General features: G+C 37.1%; 1 annotated feature.

Moving 5' to 3' along the window:
* Positions 496 to 997: an enhancer, noted in NCBI's record as "NANOG hESC enhancer chr12:24744672-24745173 (GRCh37/hg19 assembly coordinates)". NCBI's record gives its function as "activates a minimal SCP1, AML or CMV promoter by ChIP-STARR-seq in primed H9 embryonic stem cells {active_cell/tissue: H9 hESC(primed)}" and the evidence as "EXISTENCE:reporter gene assay evidence [ECO:0000049][PMID:30033119]".

A 13,597-nucleotide genomic window follows, 5' to 3' on the forward strand; every position in this document is an offset into this window, starting at 1 on the left:
CAAGACAATCACTTCCCTCATTCAAGCCATTACAAGTCTATTACCACATTCAAAAGGGCCATTAGCTTTCTCAGCAGCCACATCATATTGCTGGGTTTTATTGAAATAAAAATCCATGAACCTTTGTTATTCAGGTGCCAATAAGCCATGCTCCTTTCAGTTGACAGGAATGCAGCTGTGCGTGTGTTTGTATGTGTCTGTGTGTGTCAGAGAAAGAGAGAGAGATCCAAGGGTTATGATCTAAATTTACCTACATAAGTTTCATGCTGTTAGATTTGGCCCTTCTTTTCACGTGTTAGAGTTCTTGGTTTTGGCTTTTGCGGATGTTAATTCCATCATACATGGATTTCTCTCTACTCCCAAAATAATACTCACATGCAAATTTGATGAGCATTCCTTTATATCTTCATCTAAGTCTCCGACAAATAATGATAAACTAGACAAGACAGAACCCTTTGGCTTGCCTCTAGAGATCATCTTCTAGGTTGACACAAGTACTTTAACATTAGTTTTCGGACATACAACTAATAATCTATAAAAATACAAGAGTATGTAGCCTATAGTTCTTAATTCTCTCTAATGGTATTCATGAAAGACAAGAAGGAGACAGAGGAGAAAATGATGGTTTATTCCTGGAAAGTGGTCTCTTGACAGCACAGCTGATTTACAGGTTTTCAAGTCAGGAGAGTTGAGCAGCCCTTCCACAGCTCCCTAGGAAAGTAGGTTTTCCCTCTTTGAAGTTGAATTGAAAACAAACTTGAGCCATCAGCTCAGATTTTCTTTGTTCTTCATTAGTTTTGGAAACAAAACAATAAAATTCTTCAGCAAACCACCTCCTATCTTTCCCCTACACATACAAAATCTGTGTTAGGAAGCAGAGTCATAAGTAAGGTTTATTTTCAAGATCATCCAAATTTATTTTGTATTTCATCCCATTTACCAGTGTATTATGAGCAATAAGCCACTAAACTAGGCAGGGAGCTAAAATGAGGAAGCAAGTTCTTGGCTTACACAACTGCCCATCAAGCAGTGACCTAGGACTCTAGGCAAGTGTCACAGAATTTTGAAGATGAATTAAAAGTGTTACTTACCTGTGGTTGTTTCCTGGTTGGCTAATGCCTCAACACTTCCTGAAGGAAGGAAAAAGAAGTCTCCCAGTCTACATAAAGCCAATGATAGGAGATTCAGTATTCTCTATCCTTCCCTGTGTAATTTGGGAAGAAAAAAATGCTGTCTGGAGCAATTCAGAAAGAGCCACCAGACAATAAAATACAAATTATTTGTCATAAATTTTAAAAAATGTTCCTTACACTTTACTCTTGTCATGGTATATCATATGAACCCGTGTTTTAAAGACTTTTATTCTAGCCCATGTTTCCTCCCTAGAACTTATCTTTGCCACACCATCCCAGTAAGCAGAGATTTGGTTTGTTTCTATTTTGTGTGTGTGCGTGTGTGTGTGTGTGTATGCACATTGGTGCATGCTCTCACTGCTTCCTCTCCGTAGCCCTGTCTGCTTCCCTCACTCCAGTTGATTTGATGCTTCTTTTGCTGTAATTGTTGGCCAGCTCTGCACCTTGGCTCTCCTGAGAAGAAGAGCAGGTGAATCCTTATCTGTGCTCCCAGGGTGACTGGTGACATCTGCACCACCACCAGCAGCAACAGATAAATCCCCTGGGCGCATAGGTGGGGAGGAGAGAAGGGAGGGGTCTGTTATTCTTCACACCTCCTCAATCTATTTCTATTTTTTCATCACCTGCTTTTTTTTTTCTACTCCACTTCTCTTCAATTTTTCAGCCTTGCTCTTTTTTCTCTTTTAAGTGTTTAATTCCCTTTTTGCTGTTTCATAAAAACTGGCTTCTCCTGCCTCTTTTTGTTTTTCATTTGTTTGTTTGGTTTTTGAAACAAAGTCTCGCTCTTGTCCTCTAGGCTGGAGTGCAGTGGTGCGATCTCAGCTCACTGCAACCTCCACCTCCTGGGTTCAAGCGATTCTCGCCTCAGCCTCCTGAGTAGCTGGGATTATAGGCACCTGCCACCATGCCCGGCTATTTTGTATTTTTAGTAGAGATGGGGTTTTCACCACATTGGCCAGGCTGGTCTTGAACTCCTGACCTCAGGTGATCCGCCCACCTCGACCTCCCAAAGTGCTGGGATTGCAGGCATGAGCCACCACGCCTGGCCTGTTTGTTTTGAGACAGGGTCTCACTCTGTCGCCCATGCTGGAGTGCGGTGGCACGATCATGGCTCATTGAAGCCTCGACCTCCCTGGGCTCAGGTGATTCTCCCACCTCACCCTCCCAAGTAGCAGGGACTATGGGCGTATGCCACCACACCTGGTTAATTTTTTGTTTTGTGTTTTTGTAGAGACAGAGTTTCACTGTGTTGCCCAGTCTAGTCTCAAACTTCTGGGCTCAAGTGATCGCCCACCTCAGCCTCCCAAAGTTCTTATTTGCTGTCTCACCATCCTATCTATGTCTTCAGACAACTTTCTTCTCCAATCTGTATCATCTCCTTTCTTCTGTGTAGTCTGCAGGCTCTCACATTCGTCCTTTCCTGTTCAATCACCAAATTGTGTACATTCGCTCATCTTCAGTCACTGGCTTTTTGGTTCACAAATGTCGTTTTTCTTCTATTCTTATTAGTAAGTTTATTCTTGGATGAAAGTTTAGGAATTCATATTCAGTACATTGGAAACTTTGACAAAGCCATAAAAGATACACTACCATCTAGGGCTGCCGGATTTAGTAAAACAAAACAAAACAATGTTAATTTCTGACTTTTAAAAACGAATGATTTTTTAGTATAAGCATGCCCCATCAGTACTTTTGTAGTAAAAATTTATGTCATTTATCTGAAATTCAAATTTAGCTAGGTTTTCTATATTTTATGTGGCAACCCTACCACTACTACATTTGGTCACGTTCTCTGTTAATAAACAAATACTTACCAAATCCACACCGTACACATGAATAGCATAGTAGGCAATGTGAAAGACATCACATGTGTATAAAATCAATGCCTGCCCTCAAAGAATTCATAACGTAGAGGGTTAAGAATTTTTGAAAAAGTAATAAAGAATCAGAAAACAATGCAAAATAGCATATAATTAAATGTTTAACTGGTTCTAATTATAAGTCTAATATAAGTTCAGGTATTAATCTGGGTGGAAGAGCTCAGAAATTGCTCCCAGAGTAGAAGATGTGCTCTGGGTTGAAGGGGCAGAGTCCATGCTCCGAAGTGGGAAAAGAATTGTTCCCAGGTATTCTCCCATGCTTTCTTGCCTCTGACTTTTGATGCTATTCCTTTCTCCAGAAACAATCTTACCTGGACTTTAATGACACATACCTCTTGGGGGAGATCTCCCCTCTTTAAACACTCTATCTCACTTTCAATTTCCATGTTGATCGTACTCTACATTGATGTTCTGGCTAATTTTGGACATATCTCCTCGGGAATTATCTGCTTTTTGACAGAAAATGTTATGTCTGTACCGAGTGAAACTCCACAAACTTTGATGAAATTGAATGAGTTCATGAGTCCCAGACTGTTTCTGAATCTTCAATGATTGTTCTTTCATCTATTGATACACACACCTATCAGCACATGCACACACACACACACACACCCCAACGTGACCACAACTATGACTTTCACCATTAGGCTTCTTATAGGCAGAGATGGACATTTTTCTTCTGTGCATTCATGGCTTCCAATATCTCTGATATATACAGGTGTGCTATTACACTGCAATTATTTGGACACACATTAATTCCTTCCACTGTCCTGGGAACTTGCTGCCCTTTGTAGTCACTGTGTTTTCTCAGTTAAGTGTTGAAAAACAGAGTGGAAAAAAATCTCTCTAGGAGAAAAAAAAAGGATCTTTTTTTACATTTCCACTGTTTGTTGTTATATTAATTAAAGTAAATCATGCACTATAAATAACCATTATAATGTGTATTGAAGATCCTATTTATAGTAAAATAAATTATAGATTACATATAGATGACATGAAATGTGCATGTCATCTATGCATTATTTTTGGTTGCATATAATTTAACTTCCCAGTTATTATAAAACCTTCATTTGAGTTATCACCTCAGTATAATTTATTTTAATGTATATAGTACGAAAATATGTTACTCAGTTTTAAAATAACTGTATTTTTATGGTAATATTCAAGAAAACAATACTTATTTATAGGGTTTGGATCTGTTTGGGATTATTGTTTTGTAAATATTCGTTCTTGTCTATAGCAAAAATTTTTTCATGATGCTGAAAGTCCTTTCTACAAGCCTTTGTTAGCTGTATTTGGAAGATCTCCAGGCAGCACAAATTACTAAGAAACAACACAGGACTTCAAAAGCATGTTTATTTTCACTATAATATGGAATTCACTGTCACACATAGGTATTTTGAGGCCTTAACTCTCACTCATACAATAGGGGGTGTTCCTGTAAAAAGTTGTAATAATTTACCATAATTTTCTTCTTTTGTCTCCAAAGAATTTTTAATAGTATGCCTTCTAGGGGTGGAAAGCAAGAAGAAAAACCTAGTCAGGTACAATTAACTCCTCATGCAATGCAGTGATGCTCCACCAGGGCTGCAGATTAAAGTCGATGCAGAATTTTTAAAAAATTTCCGTGCTGCAACCACTCCAGACCTGCTGAATTCACATTGCTACAGGGGGCCCTCTAGGCATCAATAATTTCAAAAGTTATATGGTGAGTCTGGTACTCACCCATATGAAACCACTACTGCAGCTTTTACTCAAGGGAAATAATCTTTAGGAACCAGAAGTATGTTTTATTTGAGAAAGTAATTAGAATTATGAAAAATATGGTTGATGCAACATACGTGCTTTTTACAAATTATATCTCTTCTTTTCAACAGAACTAATTATTCTGCATTTTGATTAGGCTTCTTCTTATTCATAGAAATAGCTAAACAACTGACCTAATAGCACAGTTAATTATAATCATGAAATTTCATCAATTTGGCTACTGGTTATTTCTAACCAATTATTTTGATTATCTTTTAACAACTAAATAGGATTAGCTATTCTGCAATTCAAACTATTTTTCAGTAGGTTTAAAGAAAAAAACATTCTTGTCTTATTGACTTGGAATTTATTAAAAGAAAAATCATTACCATGATAAACAGTGATAATTATATATTTATATGTAATAAATCAACTCTGCAGTATGTTATTGATCTTCACATATCCCAATCCTTGTACTACTAATCACCTATGTTATATCACATTTCATTTATGTATTTATGATATTTATTATAAACTTCTATAAATCTATTTAATTCTCCCAATATTTCCTAAATATATCTTAAGAAAATAAAAAAGAGATGACCTTCTTCCTTACTGAACGAAACAGACAACAATCCAATTATCAACCCTAATACATTGAAATCAATCACATAAAAAATTGCATAGTATTTTTTGGAATGGTCATGGAAAGCATTACTTTATACAAATTCTCCTCTCACAACTAAAACAAATTTACCCATCTTTACAACCGTGGATTTGGCAAATTTTAGTATCAACAAGAACAACAAATCCTTCTGATCTTTGTGTCACAAATGTTTTCAAAACAACTTTTATGGATGATTTTGGCATCCATTGTATTATATAGTATTTAATTGACCTCATTTCAAAATAAACAAGGTCACTGTGAATTTAAATCATGTCTGGATAATTCCATGGTGTTTTAGGATGGAAGAACATTACCCCCTCTAGTGGATAAAGGCAAAATACATGTCCTTGATGGGTTGAAAAGACAGACTGGGTTTCCTTAAACCATCATCCCCTCTTAAGAGGTTGATGGATTAATTTCCTTACAACATACTTCATTCCAAGCATATTGTTCAGAAAAAGGTGCAATGTCACACATATTTCTTGTATTAAGATGTAAGAATGGTACTTGAAATTGAACACAATGCAATAAGGGAAATGTAATTTGTGCCAGGAGTTCTGTCTCATATTGAAAAGAATGGACTTACAGGACCTCAACCTAAAATGGTTACTTCTAGTGATCAAAGCACCATGCAAGGCATGTTCTTTCTAATCAAGAAAAAGAAAATATACGGAGAAATCAAATTCACATTTCCTCAACTAAGAATGTTTAATTATTAGGTAAACTTGAAATACGGCTTTAAAAATTCAGTTGAATGAGCTAGCCTTTGGACCACAGCATCTTTGTTTATTTAGGAAGTTGTTTAAAGTCCATTATTTATACTTTTCTATAAAAGAAACACATTTGTTTTTAGTTAATAACATAATATATGATATATATGTGTATATGTATCTACACACACACGCACAAATTTGGGAACTGGTTTATTTTCTGGAATTTATCTATCAGCAAATGGTCCATTAAGTTCTGCTCAAATATGAAGATTTAAGGTCATTCAACCCACTGTGATGATTGGCTTTAACTTCAGATAAGTAGAATAAACACATCCCTGCTCAAGTATAAACTAGTTTTGCTTTCCCTATTGTAAATCATCAAAGCCACGTTCTCAAAGCCAGTGTCTGATGAGCGTCTGTCACTATTGCGTCTATTGTGTTTATCACTAGTGAAGTGATGGCATCCTCAGTTACCTCATCACTAATAGACATTGTAAAAATATGCTGTATATGGTTTTGAATTACCCTTGATATTTTCCCCTTCATTAGGCCAACTTTGTTTGACCTATTTAATACACTTAAAAACATTTGCAAAGAGGAAATATCTGTATTTGTACCTACTTATACATACTCTGAGGCAGCCCACATAAGTGAGGCTTATCTCATGTTCTTGGTATCCCTCTTTATTTTCACGTGCATGGCTGTTATCCAATAGGCAAAAAGTTTGGGGGGCAAGATTTTAAGCTCCTTTCATGGAAAAGTAAAATCGTCAGCCAATCACATAAGCTGTATATCAAAATAAATCTGGAAATACTTACAAAGCAATTAATACCTTTATTAACTACCACAAGAGAACATGTTATAATTCACAAAATCATTTACACCTTAGAAGAACTTAAAATGTAGTTGGAGAAAATACTAAGATTGCGTCAACTAGAAGATTTAGTATCAGGAACAAACAGACAAATATATACATTTCTATAGTTGTCAAATAGCAAAGTATTTACAAATTATTGCCTCAGTTTCTTTATCTGTAAAGTGAAAATAAGATCTACTTATGTCACAGAATTTTTGGAAAGTTTTAATAAGACATGTTATTAAAACCAGCAAAGTGTTTGGCATACAACATGAAGTCAATAAATACTGATTTACTTGATCCTCACAAAAACCCTATATGGTTGAGAGGTTAGATATGATAAAACTTAATTTTACAGTAGAAAATCAGACTCAGAGAAGTTTTAAGATCGGTCAGAAGCTACATAAAGCTCAAATTTGTAGCTATGTATGCGTTTGTAAAACCATTATGAGCCATATAGGGAAGGAGAAAAATGAAGAGTGATTTAGAAGTGGTGAGTAAACAATTTTGACTGAAACAGAAGCCTTAAAATGAGTGGCTATACATAAAAAGATGGCAAAATAGACATGGACAATTTTTATTTATTTATTTATTTTTATTTATTATACTTTAAGTTCTGGGATATATATGCAGAACATGTAGGTTTGTTACATAGGTATACATGTGCCATGGTGGTTTGCTGCACCCATCAACCCGTCATCTACATTAGGTATTTCTCCTAATGTTATCCCTCCCCTAGCCTCCACCCCCGCCGACAGGCCCCGGTGTGTGATGTTCACCTCCTTGTGTCCATGTGTTCTCATTGTTCAACCCCCACTTATGAGTGAGAACGTGCCGTGTTCGGATTTCTGTTTCTGTGTTAGTTTGCTGAGAATGATAGTTTCCAGCTTCATCCATGTCCTAGCAAAGGACATGAACTCATCCTTTTTTCATGGCTGCTTAGTATTCCATGGTGTATATGTGCCAGATTTTCTTTATCCAGTCTATCATTGATGGGCATCTGGGTTGGTTCCAAGTCTTTGCTATTGTGTACAGTGCTGCAATAAACATACATGTGTACCATGCTAAGGAGTTAGGATTTTCTCTGAAGCTCAGCAGGGTCAAAGGCCTGTGGCAGCACAAATTGTAATTGAGGTACAAGAAGGGTCTGAAGCTAAGTTTTAGAAGTCTTTACATTGCACCAAAAGTGTGAACAACATGATCAAAATGATACTATAGTGGCAGTTTTCAGAAGGGTTAGGAAGGCAAAAAACACTGACAGCAGGGAAATAAGTTGGTAATATATTAACTTAGAATGAGATGGCACACAGGGAAGAACAACAGGATTGTAAAAGGAGACTGAAAACAAAAAAACGTGGTCAATAATGCAATATGGGACGTGAGAATGAGATTGGAATGTATAGGAAGGTGATTTTGAGGTTTCAGGTCTTGTGTTTGTAACCACTTAACAAAATTAGAGGAGTTGGTTTGATCAAGATGATGAAATTCTCAACTTTAGACTTGCTGAACACGTACATCTTAGTATGTTGAGCATTTTCTCCATGAAACTAACTGGATTCTGCCACTAAAGCATTTAGTGCATAACATTTTTTAAATGCTAATGAAAATTTGTTCTCAACCAATGAAATGACTCTAGAGAATCCTGTATTTCCGAAGTCGACTTCCCTTTTTCAAGGCAGCTTTTGCATACTTCACCAGTTGTGGTTGGGGTTGGACACCTGTGGGGACCACCATTGCCAGTTTTAGGCAAAGCTGTGAAGTAGCAGAGTCGGATTTGGCAAATGTCTTTTCCCTTTCCTGTGCCTCTTTCCCTGCTTTGGGTACTACTACCAGCTTGGTATTCTGCTGCTAACCGGAGGTGGCCACTCAAGGACACTCCTCAAGATTTTCACCACATAGAAGCATGCATGACATGTAGATGGTGGTCTATAAATTTCAGTGGTAGGCATAAAAGAGGTGAGTGAATGAATGAAAAAAATTAATGAATGAATAAAACATCTGACAATTCATATGCTTGAAGATGTTGAGTAATTTGGGCATCCCTCTCTAAATTATTTGTGTTAAAAACATTCATCTGAAGATGTACACTAATAGAAGGAATTATTACTGGCAGATTTCACATGACAATGAAGACTGAATTTAGAGAGCAAGAGCCTCTATTCCAACTTTAAAGCACATGATAAAGACAATCATCTCCACCCAAGAGTTGACTCCTTTTGACAGAGGTCCTCATTTTGTTTGATGCCACCCATTATTTAGCCATTGTTGGGGAAATGAAATTATATTACATAAAAATAAAATTGTGTCTAATGGGTAGCAGCAGCTACCTAAAATATGGCCTAAAATATGGTTCCACTGTCAATAACTCTCTTTACCATATGCAATCTGAGTAGCCACGGTCTGATGTAAATGTCAGTTTTCACCGTGCCTTCCTAGTATGCTGGGAGATTCCACTCACCAGAGTTGCCAAATAGCATAGCCCAGGACCGTCAATATGACAATTTAATTTGGGCTTCTGTTGCTTCTGTTAGTCATTGACGAGAGAGCCTTGACTAAAAATGGAACCAAGTCTCAAGTTCTGTTAGTAGCACTGTACAGAAATAAATTATATAATGTTCATGGTGGCTGATTTTTATTGCTTTGAAGCAAACATGTTAATAATGTTTCTTTTAATCAGTGATGAATAGATGCATAATAAATATTTGGAAACAGTTCTAATGGAGAGCCAGGTATTTCCATTTCTCTGACTCCCTCTAATTTTTGATTTGTGACTGGAATTCTTGAGAGTGACTTAGTTTCCAGTCCTACTTGAATAATGGCTTTTTTTTTTCAGAGTTTGGGTGCTTCTGCTTGTGGCTGTGCATGTGGCTAAGAACAGGAAACACTGTTGAGGGGACGGAAAGAGCATTAATCAAGTGTTCTGAATCACCAAAGAATTTGAATGAAATGTTGCTGTTAGTTATGCCAGATTTTAATGGCATTCCCTGGATGACTATGTAGTTGTTATTACTCATATCCTTGGTTAAAATGATGAGTTTGTGTATATAAAAAAAACTATACATGTAATTTTAGTATCCAAACATGTATGAGTGTGGATTTTGAGTGCAAAAATAAGAATGGTAAAGTATGCATTATGTGAGTCTCATAACTCACAAAGTGCCAATGCATCAGACTCCAAGATGTGACTGCTAAGTTAAAGAACAACATGCTTAGACAATAAGTACAACATTATGTTTATTCATTAATTTGTATTTTAAATATGTTTAATAGAACAGGGTATTTTTGTAAGTATCTTCAAGTACAACAAACCATTAATAAATAAAATCACAATCATAAATATTAAAATACACATTCTCAATAGGTTTTAATACCCTTTACAAATGTACAGTTTTGGCCAGGTGCGGTGGCTCACTCCTGTAATCCCAGTACTTTGGGAGGCCGAGGCGGGCGGATCACGAGGTCAGGAGATTGAGAACAACCTGGCTAACACGGTGAAACCCTGTCTCTACTAAAAATACAAAAAAAAAAAAAAAAAAAAAAAAAAATTAGCCGGGCGTGGTGGCGGGCGCCTGTAGTCCCAGCTACCTGGGGAGGCTGAGGCAGGAGAATGGCATCAACCTGGGAGGCAGAACTTGCAATGAGCTGAGATCGCGTCACTGCACTCCAGCCTGGGCGACAGAGCGAGATTCCGTCTCAAAAAAAAAAAAAAAAGTACAGTTTTATTTAATTGGTGCCTATTTTGATATCTGAAGCCTTATATTTTTGATATCTAACCGTGTGACAAATCTTGGAGAAGGAGTAACTGAAGTTCCTATTACTTGCCAAGAATAGCAAGTTTAATGGATTTCAGAAAATAAATAAATAAAATAATAAAACTTGAAGTTTGATGTCATTCAACTTGTTTTACAAGGAAATTTAGGCCTCAAGTTTGTGTACTCCAGTAGATATATATATATATATATATATAGAGAGAGAGAGAGAGAGAGAGAGAGAGAGAGAGAGACTCCAAAACCATAGATGGATTTATGTATTTAAAAATAATTTTAAAATTTTGTTTATGAGTATTAATTCCTTTAAAATTACAAAGCAACCTAGTTCTTCACGGAATCAAATACTCAATAGAACATATTTAATATCATTTCACATGGGACTCACCTATTAAAAACTTCAGTGTTTAAGTGTTGTTTATAATCACATCTCTTGGAGGTTCTCAGTGTCAACGCCCCAAGGTTCACATCTCGTTTTGTTTTATTTATTTATTTATTATTTATTTATTTATTTTTTTGAGACGGAGTCTTGCTCTGTAGCCCAGGCTGGAGTGCGGTGGCGCGATCTCGGCTCACTGCAAGCTCCGCCTCCCGGGTTCACGCCATTCTCCTGCCTCAGCCTCCCAAGTAGCTGGGACTGCAGGTGCCCGCCACCGCACTCGGCTAATTTTTTTTTGTATTTTTAGTAGAGACAGGGTTTCACCGTGGTCTTGATCTCCTGACCTCGTGATCCACCCGCCTCGGCCTCCCAAAGTGCTGGGATTACAGGCGTGAGCCACCGCGCCCGGCCTGTTGTTTTATTATAGAAACAGAAATAGAGATCCTTTATTTATGTTGAAATCTCCTAATCAGGACCCCTTGCCACAATAAACAATGAGGTGCGTAAGTAAGAAAGAAAAAGTCTATGTAAAGAGACAAATATAATTATCTACATTGCAAGTTTACTTTTAAAAGAGCCTGAAATATAAAATGGCAAATAATAAAAATAAATATAACAAATAATAAAAATGCTTTTCAGTTTTATGTCTGGTTAAGTGTGAGAAATATATATATATATGAAGTAAAAATAGGTGTGAAGAAATGAAAACATAAGCAACGTTAGAGATCCCCTAATGTAGGGGAGGACCTAGAAAAAAGACGGAAGGGGTGATCAACCTGCATTAACAGACTTTCAGGGAATAATATTCTAATTATATTGTTTTAGGATGTTGCTGAGATTTTAAAATCACATTGCAAATTTATAACCTTGAACATAAACAGGTAGCTACATCTAAGTATTTTTCCACCCAGATTAACTAGTTCTGAGAGAACTGGAGGCTAGGACTTGCTCACAGAACTGAAGTTCCTTATTCCTCTTACTAGAAAAACAAACAAACAAACAAACAAAAAAAGATGGTCCAATCTTTGGCCTGGAAGTTGGAATTAAGCTCATGCAAACCTGAAAATGTTGCTTTCTCTCATCATTAGGTAGCCTAAGGCAAAGGGAGAGAAAGTTCACCTTATATGTGCCTTTTCCTTAAGTACTATCTCCCCTGCAGCAGGATGACTTTGCGTTGAATATCTAGGTGCATCATTGTGTTGTTAATTTCTCCGTTTTCTCCTCTGTGGCCACTGTACTTTGGTATAGGGCTGTCAGAAAGAAAAACACACGGCATGGGCTTAGCATCTGGCTGAAGCCTAAATAAGCAGCACTGCCAGACATCAGAATATATCATTACTGTGATAGTTATGTTTAAATGTGTGGTGGTGCCATTGAAGTTAAGCTCAAAGTTAGCTATGAAAATACTGTGCAGAAAAGGTTGAAATATTGACATTTCTAAAAAAAAAAATCTAGTAGAACTGTACCTCCAGTAGTCTTCAGAATTATTTTAATTAGCTTTACCTACTTCCTAATTTGCTAGCTGCCTATTTCTTATTTTATTATACCAGATATTTTTAAACTAGGCTCTATTTAAAGCATCAAGATAGGCAAAGAGTGGAAAATCATTACCGGAACGCTTGGTTGTGGAAAAAAAAAAAAGATTTGCATCTTCTATTTTTCTTATTTCTTCCTTCAAGGGATAGTGTTAACAACTTTTCAGAAATTCTAATAATGTTCCTGGCCAATTCAGGGTTGATAGGGTATGGTAACTATTTTATGGATCATAGAATAAGGAAATCTCATGTTTTCCCATGGGACTTCATGCCCATTTTAAAAACAAAGTAGAAAAAGTGTCTTTTAAATGGACATGGTATTGAAAGAAACCAATTTCCACCTCTAAAAGTTATAACTGAAAAAATATCACCACCAAACCATGGTCAGACATTTTGGATGTGGCTCCTCTGTCAACTCTTGTTCCGAACGGCAGTCTGGTATTTTTCTACCCTTCTGCTCAACAGTTTCAGTGAAGGCAGATGTTTTCATAATGTACCTAAAGAAACTAATTTATTACACTCCATGCTTTAATTTTTTTTTTTTTTTTTTTTTTTTTTTTTTTTTTTTTGAGATGGAGTCTCGCTCTGTCGCCCAGGCTGGAGTGCAGTGGCGCGATCTCGGCTCACTGCAAGCTCCACCTCCCGGGTTCACGCCATTCTCCTCCCTCAGCCTCCAGAGTAGCTGGGACTACAGGCGGCCGCTACCACGCCCAGCTAATTTTTTGTATTTTTAGTAGAGACGGGGTTTCACCGTGTTAGCCAGGATGGTCTCGATCTCCTGACCTCGTGATCCGGCTGTCTCGGCCTCCCAAAGTGCTGGGATTACAGGCGTGAGCCACCGCGCCCAGCCCCATGCTTTAATTTTTAAAATGTCGGCTGGGCATGGTGGCCCCAACCAGTAATCCCAGCACTTTGGGAGGC

The sequence above is a fragment of the Homo sapiens genome, chromosome 12 (assembly GCF_000001405.40).
Source record: "Homo sapiens chromosome 12, GRCh38.p14 Primary Assembly".
Classification (NCBI taxonomy): Eukaryota; Metazoa; Chordata; class Mammalia; order Primates; family Hominidae; genus Homo; species Homo sapiens.